Consider the following 18,892-nt stretch of genomic DNA (forward strand, 5'->3'; position numbering starts at 1 on the left):
GAAATCTGCATTATGAGGTTAAGACACCTAGGGGAGACTGCCTGAGACAGGGAGCCAAGGACACTCAGCTGGCCTTCAAGAAGACACCAGGGATCCCTGGGTGCAATGGCCAGTATTGGTTTTCTGCATAGTAAGAAAAATTTAGAGCTAAAATGATTAACCTGCAACTACAGAATTAACTAGAGTCTTCTAAACTTCTCTGTCTTCCTCTTTCCTTCTCTGCCTGCTTTGAATCTGCTGTTATTAAGTTGCTCGTCCTAAGACTTATTCTTTATGATCTAACTGAAATGGAAACATTAAAAACTCATTTGAAATTGATGAATAAAAGGTAAAAGAGCCTTTTCAAAAAAATGAATTATCATAAAGACCTCTTTATCTAACTTTTGGTCCACAGCCTTCCTTGGATTATCTATTGGGAAAAACAGTTTGGCCACTGGAACAGGTTCCAATTTTGTCAGAAAAATAATTTGGACCCAGCTATCTTTTATAAAATGGTGAGTTTGTGTTATTATCTCATGGCCAAAAGTCCAAGGTAACAGCTATTGGATCTTTGTGTGTGTGTGTGTGTGTGTGTGTGTGTGTGTGTGTACATATGGTTATATATATATATGGTTATATATAATATATGGTTATATATATATGGTTATATATAATATATGGTTATATATGGTTATATATAATATATGGTTATATATATATGGTTATATATAATATATGGTTATATATATGGTTATATATGGTTTTTTATATATATATGGTTATATATATATATAAGGTTATATGTTATGTCTAGCATGCTACCAAATGGCTTATAATCATAAATTAAATTCAAATACTCTTCAAATTCATGTGGACTTAGTAATTGATAAGATTTGGCTGTGTCCCCACCCAAATCTCATCTTGAATTGTAGCTCCCATAATCCCCATGTGTCCTTGGAGGGACTAGGTGAGAGGTAATTTAATCATTGGGGTGGTTTCCTTCATGATATTCTCATGATAATAAGTTATCATAAGATCTGATGATTTTATAAGGGGCTTCCTCCTTCACTCAGCTCTTATACTTCTCCTTCCTGTCACCATGTGAAGAAAGATGTGTTTGCTTCCCCTTCCACTATGATTGTAAGTTTCCTGAGGCCTCCCCAGCCCTGTGGACTGTGAGTCAGTTACATCTCTTTCCTTTATAAATTACCCAGTCTCAGGCAGTTCTTTATAGCAGCATGAGAATGGACTAATACAGTAAATTGGTACCAGTAGAGTGGGGTGCTGCTATAAGCATACCTGAAGATGTGGAAATGACTTTGGAACTGGCTAACAGGCAGAGATTGGAACAGTTTGGAGGACTCAGAAGAAGACAGGAAAATATGGGAAAGTTTGGAACTTCCTACAGGCTTGTTGAATGGGTTGGACCAAAATGCTGATAGTGATATGGACAATGAAGTCCAGGCTGAGGTGGTCTCAGATGGAAATTAGGAACATTTTGGGGATTGGAGCAAAAGTTACTCTTGCTATGCAAAGAGACTGATGGCTTTTTGGCCCTGCCATAGAGATCTGTGGAACTTTGAACTTGAGAGAGATGATTTAAGGTATCTGGCAGAAGAAATGTCTAAGTGGCAAAGCATTCAAGAAGAAGCAAAGCACAAAAGTTTAGAAAATGTGCAGCCTGATGATGTGACAGAACACAAAACCCTATTTTCTGGGGAGAAATGCAAGCTGGCTGCATACATTTGCATAAGTAACAATACATTTGGGAAAATGTCTCCAGGGCATGTCAGAGACCTTCACAGCAGCCCATCTCATTACAGGTCTGGAGGCCTAGGAGGGAAAAACGGTCTTGTAGGCAGTCTTTCCCCCTGCTCTGTGCAGCCTTGGGATGTGGTGCCCTGCATCCCAGCTGCTTCAGCTCTAGCCATGGCTAACAGGAGCCAATGTAAAGCTCAGAATGTTGCTTCAGAGGGTGCAAGCCCCAAGCCTGGGTAGCTTACACATGGTGTTGGGCCTGTGGGTGCATGGATTGAAGAACTGAGGTTTGGGAACCTTTGTCTAGATTTCAGAGGATATAGGGAAACACATGGATGTCCAGGAAGAAGTTTGCTGCAGGGGCAGAGCCCTCATGGAGAACCTCTGCTAGAGCAGTGCAGAAGAGGAATGTGGGGTCAGAGCTCCCACAGGGTTGCCACTGGGGCACTGCCTGATGGAGCTGTGAGAGGACAGCCACTGTCCTCCAGACCCCAGAATAATAGATCCATCAACAGCTTGCACTGTGTGCCTGAAAAAGCCACAGACACTCAATACCAGCCCATGAAAGCAGGCTGGATGGAGACTATAACCAGCAAAGCCACAGGTGTGGAGCTGCCCAAGGCCATGGGAGGCCACCTCTTGCAACAGCATGCCCTGCACATGAGACATGGAGCCAAAGGAGATCTATTTTGGGACTTTAAGGTTTAATGACTGCCCTATTGGATTTCAGACTTGCATGGGGCCTGTAGCCCCCTTTTTTTGGCCAATTACTCCCATTTGGAATGAGTTTATTTACCCAATGCTTGTACCCCCATTGTGTCTAGGGAGTAACTAACTTGCTTTTGATTTTACAGGTTCATGGGCAGAAGGGACTTGCCTTGTCTCAGATGAGACTGCACTTAGACTTTTGAGTTAGTGCTGGAATGAGTTAAGCATTTGGGGAACTGTTGGAAGGGTATGATTGTGTTTTGAAATGTGATTACATGAGATTTGGGAGGGGCCAGGGGTGGAATGATATGTTTTGGCTGTGTCCCTACCCAAATATCATCTTGAATTGTAGTTCTGACAATCCCCATGTGCTGTGAGAGGGACCCAGTGGGAGGTAATTGAATGATGGGGCAGTTCCCCCATACTATTCTCATGATAGCGAGTAAGCTCTCACAAGATCTAATGGTTTTATAAGAGGTTTCCCCCTTCATTCAGCTCTCATACTTCTTCCTGCCACCATGTGAAGAAGGATGTGTTTGCTTCCCTTTCCACCATAATTGTAAGTTTCCTGAGGCCTCACAAGCCTTGCAGAACTGTGAATCAATTAAACCTCTTTTCTTTATAAATTACCCAGTGTCAGGCAGTTCTTTATACTAGCATGAGAATGGATTAATACAGTAAGCTTTGATAAATAAAAATGGTTTTTAAATTATTGATAAAACAAAAATTTTAAAAAGCCTTCAAAATTGTTGGCATACATTTTTATCTTGGTTTAATAATTATTTTATATTTATATCTGCTTGATATTTTAAGATGTCAAGGTTTGGCATAAATGACATAAGGCTATGAACATAGCCAAAAATAAGCTTTGTGTTTTTTGACAAAAAAAAAAAAAATTAATATTAACTCATTCCACAAAAACTGCTAAAACTTGTGAATCAGTGGTAAAAATACCCATGTATTTAACCCATGTGTTTAAGGTTCTTACTTAGGTGAATACCTGATATTCACAGGCTAAAAAAATGGCCAATAAAAAATAATGACTGGAAATAATGACTAGCTTTGTCTAATATCCAAGTTTTCAGAAGTACTCTAGATAAACTATTAAAAATTGAAAGAATTAAATACACATAAATAGGATACATGCTTGTAGAAAAACTTTGTGTAATTCAAAATCTTAAAATTATTTTAAATTGAATAATAAATGCTTATTAAATGTCTGGGTTATTTCCAATTAAAAAGGGGTTATAACATGAAAAAACATGTTTCTAAAAATTACGAAGTGGTTTCATCTATAAAATGCCGACATCTGAAAAACAGTTCATGATTTCTTTTTTCCTAGGCTTTCACTAAAATTTAAGGTTATTGAGAATAAGAATTCTAATGAATCTATAGTTCTGTAAGTTGTGTCTTATTGAGAAAAAATAATAATTTTATGTAATTTGGAGATTAAAACTCATTTATAAAACAATATTTTAAAAACTAAGTAGGAAAGACGTAAAAGTGTTATAGACATAAAGATGTATTTTTGCATAAGAAATGTTATAAAAATAATTTTGTATGCAAACGGATCTTATATGGTAAATATTTGTCCAAAACAAAATGATTGTTTTTTTTTTCTTTTTTCTTTTCTTTTATTTATTTATTTATTTATTTATTTATTTATTTATTTATTTATTTTGAGATGGAGTCTCACTCTGTCACCAGGCTGGAGTGCAGTGGCGCCATCTTGGCTCACTCCAGCTCCTGGGTTCAAGCAATTCCCCTGCCTCAGCCTTCTGAGTAGCTGGGAGTACAGGTGCACACCACCATGCCTGGCTAATTTTTGTATTTTACTAGAGATGGGGTTTCACCATGTTGGCCAGGATGGTCTCAATCTCCTGACCTCATGATCCACCCACCTCGGCCTCCCAAAATGCTGGGATTACAGGTGTGCACCACGCCTGGACAATGACTGGTTATTCTAAAAGAGATAGTATAGGACAAATCAAAAGGTCCACACGTGTAGATGGCCTGTGTATGTCATGATAAAGTTTGTGAAAGAACATTTAAAAGATAAATTGTACATGGAATTAAGTTGGCTATAATTAAAAAGGAATTACTGGCTGGCCACTGTATATCACACCTGTAATCTCAGCACTTTGGGGGCCAAGGGTAGATTGCTTGAGCCCAGAAGTTTGAGATCAACCTGGGAAGCAAGCTGAAACCCCATCGCTACAAGAAACAAAAATTAGCCAGGCATAGTGGCACATGCCTGTAATCCCAGCTATTCAAGGGGCTAGGGAGGGAGAATTGCTTGAGCCCAGGAGGTGGAGGTTGCAGTGAGCTGAGATTGCAACACTGAATTCCAGTCTGGGTGACAGAGTGAGACCCCCTCTGAAAAAAATAATTAATTTATAATAGTTTAAGATTGGCCCCCTATGTTAAAATAATATTTTCTTAAGGTATTATTTTACTGTCAATGAAATTACAAGACATTTTTATTTTTAACTCTGTTAAGAATATTTGACATACAGTTCCCTTATTCCCAGTGGCCTCTGCAGGCAACACTTTCCCTGCCTACCAATCGCCCTTGGACTCCTCTCAGGGAGTCAACCCAGACAGTAACCCAGAGTGGGGCATCTTGCCAGTCTTCCTCTATGATGTCCTGGCATGTCTCCAATGGAAAAAAAGAGGTGGGTACTCTATATGTATGTTCTCTTCACAACTTTAGATCTTTATAACTGAAAGTCTCATTCTAAAGGACTAAGGAAAGATCCCTAGGGGTTTCAAAACCTCATTTGAAGTATTATAAGATTCATCATCCTAACTGGGAAGATGTTCAGTCCCTTTGGTACATTCTCCTCACTGGAGCAGGAAAACAAAACAAAACAAAAAACAAACAACAACAAAAAACTGTTCTCTAACAGACTTGGGAGGAAGTGGGACTGAGCCCATAAGTACAAGACAAACAATCCTATTTTATGTCTCAGAGCACATCAGACATTAGACATAAACTCTTAAAAGTAAATTTAGAGCTAGACACTCTCATCTCAAGACTAGTAGACCTGGCCAATAAGGTATTCAACAACTGGGATAGGGAGGAGGAACATAAAAAAGACAGAGAGGCCACATGGCAAGCCTACCAATGGGCTATTGTTCTCCAGTGCCAGCTGGATAACTCACAGGATACCTATCAATAGAGAACCTCAGCTCCAGTGAGTGTCCCTCAGTCCCCTAACCAGGAGAAAGGATCCTGAAGACCTAGGAGACTAGGACCACACCAATGTGTCTTCTTCAATGTGCCTTCTTCAATGTGCCGCTTCTTCAGAGAGGGTCACTGGGAAAAGGCCTGTCCCCTCCACATCTGAAGGGAAGGGACAGAGGGCTTGTGCCACCAAGGTGCTTCACACAGAAAGATGGTCCAAGTAGGAAAAAAGATTGACAGGGCCTGGGGACTCCTCAGTTGGCCCTCCAGGTATCCCCCAAGGAGCTACAACTTTTACTGGATGTAGGGTGCAAGACTGTTGATTTCTTGGTTGACATAGGAACCACCTACAAGGTTTTGAACACCCCCTGGGGCAGACTTACCCACCAAAATTGCAGGATTATAGGAGTGTGAAGGAAGACAAAAGACAGCACCTTTATTGAGCCTCTAAAATATAAACTAGCTCAACCAAGAGGCACTAAAAGGGATAGTCCTAGTAATTAATGAGTTGAGAAAACAGGGATTCTTGAGGGCCTGCCAAGCCCCATGCAATATCCCTATCATCTCTGTTAAGAAACTAAATGGAAAATATCAATTTGTACAAGATTTTAAGGCAATTAATGAGGTAACAGAAAACATGCACCCAGTGGTAACTAATTCTTATATTCTACCATGTTACTCTGTCCCTGAGTTGGATGTAGTACTCAGTCCTGGGTCTAAAAGATGCCTTTTAGATGCCTTTTTCTGCCTTCCACTGGATACAGACTCTCAGTCCCCCTTTGCTTTCAAATATCAGGATCCCCAGACAGGCAGGAAACAGGAGCTAACATGAACTGTGTTAACTCAGGGGTTAAAAAACCTCCTGCACGATATTTGGAGAAACCTTAACAAGGGACCTGGGGGATCTGACAGTTTTGAATGGATGGCAGCATGTGACCAAGCATTCCAAAACCCTAAAACCCAGCTCATGAGGCCCCAGCAGTATCCCTACCCAACATAAGCAAACTTTTCTATCTTTATGTTCATGAAAGACGAGGAATTGCCCTAGGAGTACTAACTCAAGGGTTGGGCCCACTGAGCCAGGTAGTGGTCTACTTTTCCAAGCAGCTGGACTCAGTTGCTAAAGGCTAGCCACCTTGCCTTTGATCTGTTGCAGCTGTGAAACTCTTTTTAAAAGAAACAGAAAGTTAACCTTTGTGCACCCGCTAACCATTTGGGCTTCCCATCAGACTCAGACTGTCATAAAAGAAATCTGGGTGGAATGGCTGTCGCTACACAGGGCTCTCCAGTTACAGGTAATGCTTATTGGTAATTCCCACATAATGTTGAAGATGTTTAACAGCTTGAATCTGGCCACCCTCCTTCCATCTGAAGATGGTCACTTATCTCACAACCACTTAGGGGTGACAAAGGAAGTATACTCCAGTGGGCCAGACCTTAAAAGTAAACCTATTAAAAATGGGGAAGCCTAATGGTTCACCAATGGGAGTAGCTATATGCAAGAGGAACAGAGGAGGGCAGGTTATCCTATAGTCTCTCTCACAGGTGTAAAAGCTGGTGCTCTTCCACTGGGATGCGCTTCACCAAAGGCAGAGCTTGTTGCTCTAGCCCATGCATTAGAGTTGGAGGAAGGGAAGGTCCTCAATGAATACAATAGTTCCAGGTACACCTATTCCATCTTACATGCACATAGGGCTATTTGGAAGAAAGGGGCATGTTAACCTTTGTTAATAAACAGGTAAAAAAATGGTGTTATTTTAAGGTTATTAGAGGCTGTAAGAAAACCAGCCCAGGTGGAAGCAGTTCACTGCCATGGCCACCAAAAGGGAGGGGCTGAGATAATTAAAAGAAATAAAGCTGACCTTATGTCAAAACAGACAAAGGGTCATTTCCAAATGCCACTTTTGCCTTCCTTCCAGGGTCCTACTCCTTTTATCCCAGTTTTCTCTCAAAAAATGGAATAAAAGCCTCCAAATGTAGTTATATCAAAAGTCCTGACCATCCAGGATGGCTAATAAACCCTCATAAACTTCTTTTCCCAAAAGCAGTTACATTGCAGGCCATTTTTTTAAAAAAGCCCATTCTAACACTCTGGCCAGGAAGTCCTTTATAACTGGGTTTGCAAAAGTATGACTGGGATCTTCATGGAGCTACAACTTCAGGGAGCTCTCAGGGAGCTAATCAAAGAGGTGGTTGAGACTTGCCCCACTTGCTATGTTAATAACCTTAATACCCACCCTGCATGGGAGGGCCAAAAATAGGTCACTCAGCTGGTCCAATACCAAGGCAGATGCCCAGGGGAAGATTGCCAAACTGATTTCAGAGTTAAGCTCAGCGCCTCAGGACACCATTAATGCCTAAAGCCTTTGCCACCAAAACTGAAATCGCACATGAAGTGGCAAAGGTGCTATTAAAAGAAATTGTGGGCCGGGCGCGGTGGCTCACGCCTGTAATCCCAGCACTTTGGGAGGCCGAGGCGGGCGGATCACGAGGTCAGGAGATCGAGACCATCCCGGCTAAAACGGTGAAATCCCGTCTCTACTAAAAATACAAAAAAATTAGCCGGGCGTAGTGGCGGGCGCCTGTAATCCCAGCTACTTGGGAGGCTGAGGCAGGAGAATGGCGTGAACCCGGGAGGCGGAGCTTGCAGTGAGCCGAGATCCCGCCACTGCACTCCAGCCTGGGTGACAGAGCGAGACTCCGTCTCAAAAAAAAAAAAAAAAAAAAAAAAAAAAAAAAAGAAATTGTGCCTAGATTCAGGCTGCCATGGTCAATCCAAAGTGGTAATAGACTAGCATTCAAATCCTTAATTACTAAGGCTACTTCTCGGGATCTAAAAATTCAATGGTGCCTACATACCGCCTGGAGCCCACAGTCTTCGGGTAAAGTAAAGCACACCAACCAGACAGACCCTCAAAAGGACTTTAGCCAAATTGTGCCAGAAAACTCATCGCTCATGGATTTTGTATCATCCCATGTCCTTGTTAAAAATGAGAATAGTTCCACAAAGAAAAATAAAACTGAAGCCTTGTGAGCTAAGACTGGTCCAAGTCTGGTCAGATAACCAGGAGGTCCTCAGAAATATGGAAAAAAATGAGATGCTACCCAAATTTTAAAAAGTAGTAAAAGCCCTTCAGGCCTATAGAAACTGAAAATTACCTTCACTGTCGGATCTGACCTTCCATCCCTTCCAACTGGATACTATGCTTACTTAAAACCTGCAGATGGGGGAGACCACAAGATCATTTACAACCTAAATATACGAGCCCATATCTGGTAATGCTCATAAATAACTCTGCCTTAATGTTACCAGGAGTGATGCCTTAGGTTCACCACACCTGAGTAAAAGCAGCCTCAGAACCTAAGGAAAAAAGTCCCACTAACCAAGCTGAATTGCTGTCAGATCTAAGATTCCTGCTCAAAATGATCCACAGGAAACCTTAAAATACATGACATCCTGGAGAATGAGCCCTAGGGCACCGAATCCCCAGAGAAGTCAAAATGTTTAATGGTTTCCTGTCCCCCTCTCACCTGAGGAATAAAAGGCAATTAGGCTTATTCTGGCTGGTACTGGGATAGCAGGTGGTCTCATAGCCCCTAGGGAAGGTTTGCCTACCATGAGTTTACCCTCTGCAACCTCACAACAGGTATAGAAATTCTAGCCTATAAGACTAGTGATGCCCTTACCCTCCTCAAAGTCTCCCTAGACTCACTAACTAACACTGTGCTTGATAATCGTCTGACTTTTGATTATCTCTTGGCAAAAAAAGGTGAGGTACGTGTGGTCACCAGCTCTTTCTGTTGTGCTTGGGTAAGTAATTCAAGATTAAAAACAACGAAAAGACATTAAAATCATCTACAACCAGACCAAGTGGTTGCACCAATTTAACCAAAAGGGCACAGACCCTCAAGGAATATGAAAATGATAAAACAGGCCAGCCCTGATTTCACCCGGTTTCTACCCTTCCTGAGCCCTTTAGCTACCATCCTACTTATCTTGATCTTCAGGCTCTGTCTCCTAAACTCTCTGATCTCTTTTATGTATAAGCAAATCGAGGCCATACACGGATATAAAAAGGTAGGCTTATACCCAGGAGAGAACCAGATCTACCTAAGACTAGCTAGGGAAAAAATTCACTCCTCTAACAGGCCCCATATTGTCAAAAGTGTTCGAACCAGAGTGACTCCATTTTGACTGGGGGCTAGGAAAATGAGGCTGGTCCTTGAAAGGCTGCATTCTCAGAAATTTAGGCATTCCTGGCCTCTAGATGTTTATGTTAAGGGAACAAACTAATAATGTTTACTAAACAGACCCAGATTTGGGAGTGTCCATATATCCCCATATCTGGCAAACAAAGGCATTCCTAATTTTGTGTTAAAGATAATAATACCGATTCTTGCAAAATATAGTAATTAAGAAAATTAATCCTTCATCACAAACCCTTGTAGCAGAGCACATCTCCCATATATACAAGCATTGTACCTAGAGTGGACACGTTCCTCCTCTTACTTTCAGAAACGTCCTAGTCTGTCTATGGAGTATCTGTCCTTTTGAGAGGTGACAGCGTGCTGGCAGTCCTGGCAGCCCTCGCTTGCTCTCAGCGCCTCCTCAGCCTTGGCGCCCACTCTGGCGGAGCTTGAGGAGCCCTTCAGCCCGCCGCTGCACTGTGGGAGCCCCTTTTTGGGCTGGCCAAGGCCGGAGCCAGCTCCCTCAGCTTGTGGGGAGGTGTGGAGGGAGAGGCGCCGGCGGGAACCGGGGCTGCGCGCGGTGCTTGCGGGATAGCGCGAGTTCCGTGGGTGTGAGCTGGGAGGGCCCCACACTCGAAGCGGCCGGCTGCAAGCCCAGGGCAGTAAGGGGCTTAGCACCTGGGCGGGCAGCTGCTGCGCTCGATTTCTCCCCGGGCCTTAGCTGCCTCCCCGTGAGGCAGCGCTCCGGACCTGCAGCCTGCCATGCCTGAGCCCCCCGCACCCCTCCCCCCACACGCCGTGGGCTCCTGCACTGCCCTAGCCTCCCTGACGAGCGCCGCCCCCTGCTGGATGGCGCCCGGAGAGCAGGTGCAGGGCACTCCTGGCAGCTCCACCTGCCGCCCCAGTGGGAGATCCACTGGGTGAAGCCAGCTGGGCTCCTGAGTCTAGTGGGGACTTAGAGAACCTTTATGTCTAGCTAAGGGATTGTAAATACACCAATCAGCACCCTGTATCTAGCTCAAGGCTTGTAAACACACCAATCAGCACCCTGTGTCTAGCTCAGGGTTTGTGGATGCACCAATCGGCACTCTGTATCTAGCTAATCCGGTGGTGACTTGGAGAATCTTTATGTCTAGCTCAAGGTTTGTAAATGTACCAATCAGCACTCTGTGTCTAGCTCAGGGTTTGTAAATATACCAATCGACACTCTGTATCTAGCTAATCTAGTGGGGACATGGAGAACTTTTGTGTCTAGCTCAGGGATTGTAAACGCACCAATCAGCACCCTGTCAAAACGGACCAATCAGCTCTCTGTAAAACAGAACAATTGGCTCTCTGTAAAATGGACTAATCAGCAGGATGTGGATGGGGCCAGATAAGAGAATAAAATCAGGCTGCCCAAGCCAGCAGTGGCAACCTGCTTGGGTCCCCTTCCACACTGTGGAAGCTTTGTTCTTTCGCTCTTTGCAACAAATCTTGCTACTGCTCACTCTTTGGGTCCACACTGCCTTTATGAGCTGTAACACTCCCTGCGAAGGTCTGCAGCTTCACTCCTGAAGCCAACGAGACCACGAACCCACCAGGAGGAATGAACAACTCCAGACGTGTGGCCTTAAGAGCTGTGACATTCACCGTGAAGGCCTGTGGCTTCACTCCTGAGCCAGCAAGACCACGAACCCACCAGAAGGAAGAAACTCCGAACACATCCGAACATCAGAAGGAACAAACTCTGGACACGCCGCCTTTAAGAACTGTAACACTCACCGCAAGTGTCCGCGGCTTCATTCTTGAAGTCAGTGAGACCAAGAACCCACCAATTCTGGACACATTTTCACCACTTTACCTCTCTTAATAAACTTGCTTTTGCCTTGCACTGTGGACTCACCTTGAATTCTTTCTTGCACGAGATCCAAGAACACTCTCTTGGGGTCTGGACTGGGACCCCTTTCCTGTAACAATATTAACACCCAACTTCAGATTCAGAAAGTTGTAGAAGACAGACTTTTACTCCTCAGCACCATTCAAGAATGAGGAGTGAATATACAGAAAAGGGGAGATTTGTTATCCAGTGCAATGCCTACATGACATAGCTGAATTTCTACCCTGCCTTAACTCTGCTTATCTTTAAGAAACAGAACACCTGTGATTAAAAAAAAAGTTTCCTTTGTAACCAGACCAGCTGAGACAGGTTTAAGCCAAGATAGCCAACCAAAGGACTTCAAAAGGACCTCAGGCCTCATTATAATCTCATTTCCATGCTAAATGGAATGAGCACCCAGCAGCACCGTGACCATTGCCAATCCTCATGAAACAACCGGAAGAAGGCATAGGAGGACAAAAATGAAGCAGCACTCTGGTTCTGGGAAGTTGACTACCTATTTCCGGAAAAGATAAGAATATTCCCTCCCCTTGCTTTTAATGTCCAACCTCCTCATTAAATAAATCCTATATTTTAACACCCTCACCCTTCACTAGTGGAGAAGTTGAGTTGTGAGCCATGTTACTACTTCTCAATTCCATGGTCTGCACTGCTTAACACTCACTTTTGGTTTTGTGTATTGGTATTGTGACTCCAAACAAGGAAAGATCCCATCTTCTGGGTGAGTGGCTTTGTCAGTAAAATGAATATCAGGGAGGAGAAGCTGAGATCATTGGAAGCCATGTCAGATGCTGCTAACAACAGAGTCCTTTGGTCAATTGCATTTCTCGTAGTTGGTGGTTGCCAAGGTGCAGTCATATGGTCTTCATGTTAAACTCAGGACAAAAGGAAATGATTTAAATAGATAATAAGCCAGAAGAAAGTCTTCAGAAGGCTTGAAAACAGAAAATGTGAGAAAACGATCAAGAAGTATGGAGTACACAATAAGAAAATCTAATATATGTTTAATTTGAGCACAAGACATAGAAAATGGGACCAAGGAAATTGTTTGAAAAGATTATGACTCAGAATGCTCAAGATTAATGAAAAATCCAATACATAGAAACAAGACGACTAACAAATCCCACTGGAATAAATAAAAATTAACACCTAGAATATCTTGAAAAATAAAATTAATTAAAATTCATAACAAAGAGATGGTCTTAAAAACAGGCAAAACAGCCAAAGGAAAAAATATATAGATTAGATGCATAAAACTGAAAGTCAAATGGTCAGCTTCCTTCTTAATGGCAAAAATGAAAATTAATAGATTATGAAATGTTATAATTAATATATGAAGGTCAACTAAGAATCAACAATTCTACAAGAAAAGAAAATATCTTTTGAACAAAAATTCTGAAAGTTTTTCATCAGGAAAACTTTGCTAAAGGTTATGCTAAAGGATCTACTTCAGCCAGAAAGCACTCTCTCTTTTTTTAAATATATATATTTTTTATTATACTTTAAGTTCTAGGGTACATGTGCACAACGTGTAGGTTTCTTACATATGTATACATGTGCCATGTTGGTGTGCTGCACCCATTAGCTGGTCATTTACATTAGGTATATCTCCTAATGCTATCCCTCCCCGCTCCCTCCACCTCATGACAGGCCCCAGTGTGTGATGTTCCCCTTCCTGTGTCCAGGTGTTCTCGGTGTTCAATTCCCACCGATGAGTGAGAACATGCGGTGTTTGTTTCTTTCTCCTTGCGATAGTTTGCGGAGAATGATGGTTTCCAGCTTCATCCATGTCCCTACAAAGGACATGAACTCATCATTTTTTATGGTTGCATAGTATTCCATGGTGTATATGTGCCACATTTTCTTAATCCCGTCCATCATTGATGGACATTTGGGTTGGTTCCAAGTCTTTCCTATTGTGAATCATGCCGCAATAAACATACGTGTGCATGTGTCTTTATAGCAGCATGATTTATAATCCTTTAGGTATATACCCAGTAATGGGATGGCTGGGTCAAATGGTATTTCTAGTTCTAGATCCTTGAGGAATCGCCACACTGTCTTCCACAATGGTTGAACTAGTTTACAGTCCCACCAACAGTGTAAAAGTGTTCCTATTTCTCCACATCCTGTCCAGTACCTGTTTCCTGACTTTTTAATGATTGCCATTCTAACTGGTGTGAGATGGTATCTCATTGTGGTTTTGATTTGCATTTCTCTGATGGCCAGTGATGATGAGCATTTTTTCATGTGTCTGTTGGCTGCATAAATGTCTTCTTTTGAGAAGTGTCTGTTCATATCCTTTGCCAACTTTTTGATGGGGTTGTTTTTTTCTTATAAATTTGTTTGAGTTCTTTGTAGCAAGGCTGGTTCAACATACACAAATCAATAAACGTAATCCAGCATATAAACAGAACCAATGACAAAAAATCACATGATTATCTCAATAGATGCAGAAAAGGCCTTTGACAAAATTCAACAGCCCTTCATGCTAAAAACTCTCAATAAATTAGGTATTGATGGGACATATCTCAAAATAATAAGAGCTATTTATGACAAAACCACAGCCAATATCATACTGAATGGCCAAAAACTGGACTCATTGCCTTTGAAAACTGGCACAAGACAGGGATGCCCTCTCTCACCACTCCTGTTCAACATAGTGTTGGAAGTTCTGGCCAGGGCAATCAGGCAGGAGAAAGAAAGAAAGTGTATTCAATTAGGAAAAGAGGAAGTCAAATTGTCCCTGTTTGCAGACGACATGATTGTATATTTAGAAAACCCCATCGTTTCAGCCCAAAATCTCCTTAAGCTGATAAGCAACTTCAGCAAAGTCTCAGGATACAAAATCAATGTACAAAAATCACAAGCATTCTTATACACCAATAACAGACAAACAGAGAGCCAAATCATGAGTGAACTCCCATTCACAATTGCTTCAAAGAGAATAAAATACCTAGGAATCCAACTTACAAGGGATGTGAAGGACTCTTCAAGGAGAACTACAAACCACTGCTCAATGAAATAAAAGAGGACACAAATGGAAGAACATTCCATGCTCATGGATAGGAAGAATCAATACTGTGAAAATGGCCATACTGCCCAAGGTAATTGATAGATTCAATGCCATCCCCATCAAGCTACCAATGACTTTCTTCACAGAATTGGAAAAAAACTACTTTAAAGTTCATATGGAACCAAAAAAGAGCCTGCATTGCCAAGTCAATCCTAAGCCAAAAGAACAAAGCTGGAGGCATCACACTACCTGACTTCAAACTATACTACAAGGCTATAGTAACCAAAACAGCATGGTACTGGTACCAAAACAGAGATAGGGACCAATGGAATAGAACAGAGCCCTCAGAAATAATACCACACATCTACAACCACCTGACCTTTGACAAACCTGACAAAAACAAGAAATGGGGAAAGGATTCCCTATTTAGTAAATGATGCTGGGAAAACTGGCTAGCCATATGTAGAAAGCTGAAACTGGATCCCTTCCTTACACCTTATACAAAAATTAATTCAAGATGGACTAATGACTTAAATGTTAGACCTAAAACCATAAAAATGCTAGAAGAAAACCTAGGCTTTACCATTCAGGACATAGGCATGGGCAAGGACTTCATGTCTAAAACACCAAAAGCGTGGCAACAAAAGCCAAAATTGACAAATGGGATGTAATTAAACTAAAGAGCTTCTTGCACAGCAAAAGAAACTACCATCAGAGTGAACAGGCAACCTACAGAATGGGAGAAAATTTTTGCAATCTACTCATCTGACAAAGGGCTAATATCCAGAATCTACAAAGAAAGTAATCTTAGATGAAAAGCCTAACATTTATGAAGGAAAAAATAAAAATAGTTATTTTGTGGGTAAATTTAAAAAATAACCTTGACTACTTAAAACAATAATAATGTACTTATCTGTTATACAATGAAATATTCAGCAACAGTGACAAATATTTAATTCAGAAGAAATGTAATAACTAGAGTAAAATTTTTCTTAGTTCCTTTCATTGTCAGCAGGATAACAGTATCAGATATTTTTAGAGTCTGACAACATTAAGTTTGCCTGTGGTGGTAATTAATAGGATTTCCTACTAAAAGAATAGAAACAAAATTATAATAATCAAATTCAAGAAATAAGAAAATACCAATAATCAACATGAAAAAAGGCAATAAAAAAGAAAAAAATACAACAAATGTGGCAAATAGAGTAAGTTATGTGGTAGTTTATATCCAAATATGTTAGTGATTCATGAACGCACTTAATGGTCCACCCTTGAAAATATTTTCAAACTGAAAAAAAAATGTGTCTACATGGTGTTTACAACAGATATATCTAAAATATAAAAACTTTAAATTATTGAGATTAATTAAAATTATTAATCAAAAGAAAGCTAGTACAACTGTATTCATGCCTTAATTGAGTTTAAGCAAAAATGTTCCAAGAGTCAAAAAAGGTCAATTCCTAATGATAAGGAGGTTAATTGGTATCCCAGGAGGATATTAACAACTTCAAATTTGCATGCACCTGAGAATATAGCCTCAAAATATAGGAAGCAAAAACTGATAAAAATAATTATGTAGACAGATGTATCACCATAGTGGGCAATTATAGACCTTCCTCATTACTTGACAGAAAAATTAAAAAAAAATTAATAAATGGAGCAATGCTTCTCAAACATCACCTCGGGGTATTTTAAAAGTGCAGATTCTCATTTAATAGGTCTGTATTGAGTCTGATTTTCTGAAATTTGAATGAACACCTGGATAATGTTAATGTTGTGGTATAAAGATTAACCTCCATGCTTAGTAAACTTGATCTAATGAAAGAGTAACAACAGTACACTCAACAAGTAAAGAATGAATGTTATTCTCAATTACACAAGGAGTACATGCCAAAAAATGCACTCTTAATTAAGACTGAACAATTTTCATGGTTTGAAACTATATAAATTTTTCTCACGGAAATACAATTCAACTGGAAAGCAATAATAAAAATTAATTAGAACTCAACATAGAAATTTTAAAAATACATATTTCTTAATAACCCATGGGTCAAAGAAGAAATCATGATAAAAATTAGAAAATATATCCAATTGATCAAATATAACTAATCAGATTAGTTATAAAAGAGATTTCTTTATTAACTAAATAGATAATATTTAAGTACATGTTGAAATATACATTGGATGTGAGGAAATATAAACACCTTAAGAAATGAATGTTATCTAGGTTGTGAAATTTTGTATAAATTAATTTTGCTTATATGTATATGACTGTAACTCCCATAGTGACTATAAATTCTTTTATACTAAATCATTGATCAATTTTTAATAAATAAAAATGCTATTACATCACACAGAATCATAAAGAAGTTATAGTCAACAAAAGGAACTGAAGGAATAGCAGAAAATAAATACATCAGGAACAAATGTAGAAAAGAAAAAAACTCTCAATAAATAATATGCCAAAATAATCTATATATTTAAATATTTTATTTCATTCGTAATCAAATAAATTCAAGTTGAAATATTGCATGCTAAGTTTACAACTCATTTATTGATACCTAATTAGTTTTTAATCATATCCCATGCTGGATTTTTTTAAAATAGTTACTTTTGCACACATAGTAGGGATATTTATTGTTATAACATGTCCTCAGGCAATTTTGCAATATATATGAAGAGCTTTAAGATGACACAGAAATATAGTACTTTAGGGATTTATGCACAAATAATTTTACATATATGAAATATATATCTTTTTATTTACATATAAACTTGGTGATAAGACAGGTATGAATAATTTAAAATTTTATTTTTCTCTTTATCTAAATTTTCTATATAGAAATATACATTACATTTTTACTTAACATTTAATTTCTAAATGCTATAATTAGTGTTTGCGAAAAATTCTTACTTGTAGGCCTCTATGGTTTTTTCATCCTGGTAAATATCCTTATCAATCTCTTCTTTAATTTGCTGAGCCTTCAATCTGGCATTTTCACAGGCTTCTAAAGCTTCTTCAAGTTCTTCATTAACTTTTCTGTGTAGGTCCATTACCTAGAAATGAAAATATTTTTGCTTATATTTGCACTTAATGGTTAATTAAAAATAATAACTTCAACTTAGTGTAGTATTGATTTAGATCAAAAGTTCTTTAGAAACATTTTCTTCCCACATTTAGCCTATGGTTTGGTAAGTGGAATTTCAGCCCTGACAGGCATTAATGCTGGGAATGTATAAATGTTACTGAACAAAATAATTTCAATATCCAAGTTAACATGTCCAAAATGAAATCATTATCTCTTCACTCATAAAAAATTTTTATTACTCAAATAATACTTTATTATTTAAAAAATCAGAAAACAAAGATGAAATATCGCAAACAAAGTGACCTGTACTCCTCTCCACTAAGAAAAACCATTATTCTTAGGTTGGTGCAAAAGTAATTGTGGTTTTTGCCATTAAAAGTATGCACCAACCTAATATCTTAGTGTAATACTTCAAAATATTCAGTTTTTACTCTTTTTACTAATGAACAAACATCATACTAATCTCCTCTTTTACTAATTATCAAACATCATACTAATGCTCATGTCTCCATCTCTTCCTTCTGTCTCTCTCTCTGTATATCGCTGTATCACATTACTTTTACTTAACATTCCCTTATATCACACATACTCATGATTTAACTCATTGTCAATTATATGAGCATTATGCACAGTTTGACATGCACAACGCATGTATGAGGGACATATAACATCAACAGTACTGTGATGAAGAACCATGTAAGGAAATTGCACAATCTATAGTTATACTGCAGGTTCTTGAATATTTTCTTCAAACGTACTGTTAAAACAGAATTTTCTGAGTCGTAAGGTATTAGCATATATTTTAAGAATTTTGATTAATATTGGTTGCCAAATTACTCTCCAGAATAAGTGGTAACACTTTGTATTCTCACCAGTGGAACAGAAGAAAGCCTATGTTCCAAAACTCTTTCCAGCATTTTATACTACTTTTTCCTAATAATATTATTTAAATTGACAGGCCAAAAGGTTATTGTGTACATTTTACTAGAATTTGATGGCTGTTTCTGTAACAATTTTGGAATGATTGACATTTTTACTACAATAAGCCTTCCTGTCTTAGGATATATTATGTGTCTACATTAATTGTC

At 39.4% G+C, this 18,892-nt stretch overlaps 1 protein-coding gene across 10 annotated transcripts in view; it reads right to left on the reverse strand.

Moving 5' to 3' along the window:
- CCDC178 (coiled-coil domain containing 178) overlaps positions 1-18,892 on the reverse strand; it is a 503,635-nt gene that overhangs the window by 368,456 nt on the left and 116,287 nt on the right. For all 10 annotated transcript variants that reach the window (NM_001371120.1, NM_198995.3, XM_011525951.2 and 7 more), the window contains one exon: positions 17,630-17,772. In NM_001371120.1, the coding sequence (NP_001358049.1) occupies positions 17,630-17,772 (143 nt within the window). The remainder of the gene's footprint in view (positions 1-17,629; positions 17,773-18,892) is intronic.

This window comes from Homo sapiens, chromosome 18 (genome assembly GCF_000001405.40).
Source record: "Homo sapiens chromosome 18, GRCh38.p14 Primary Assembly".
Lineage (NCBI taxonomy): Eukaryota > Metazoa > Chordata > Mammalia > Primates > Hominidae > Homo > Homo sapiens.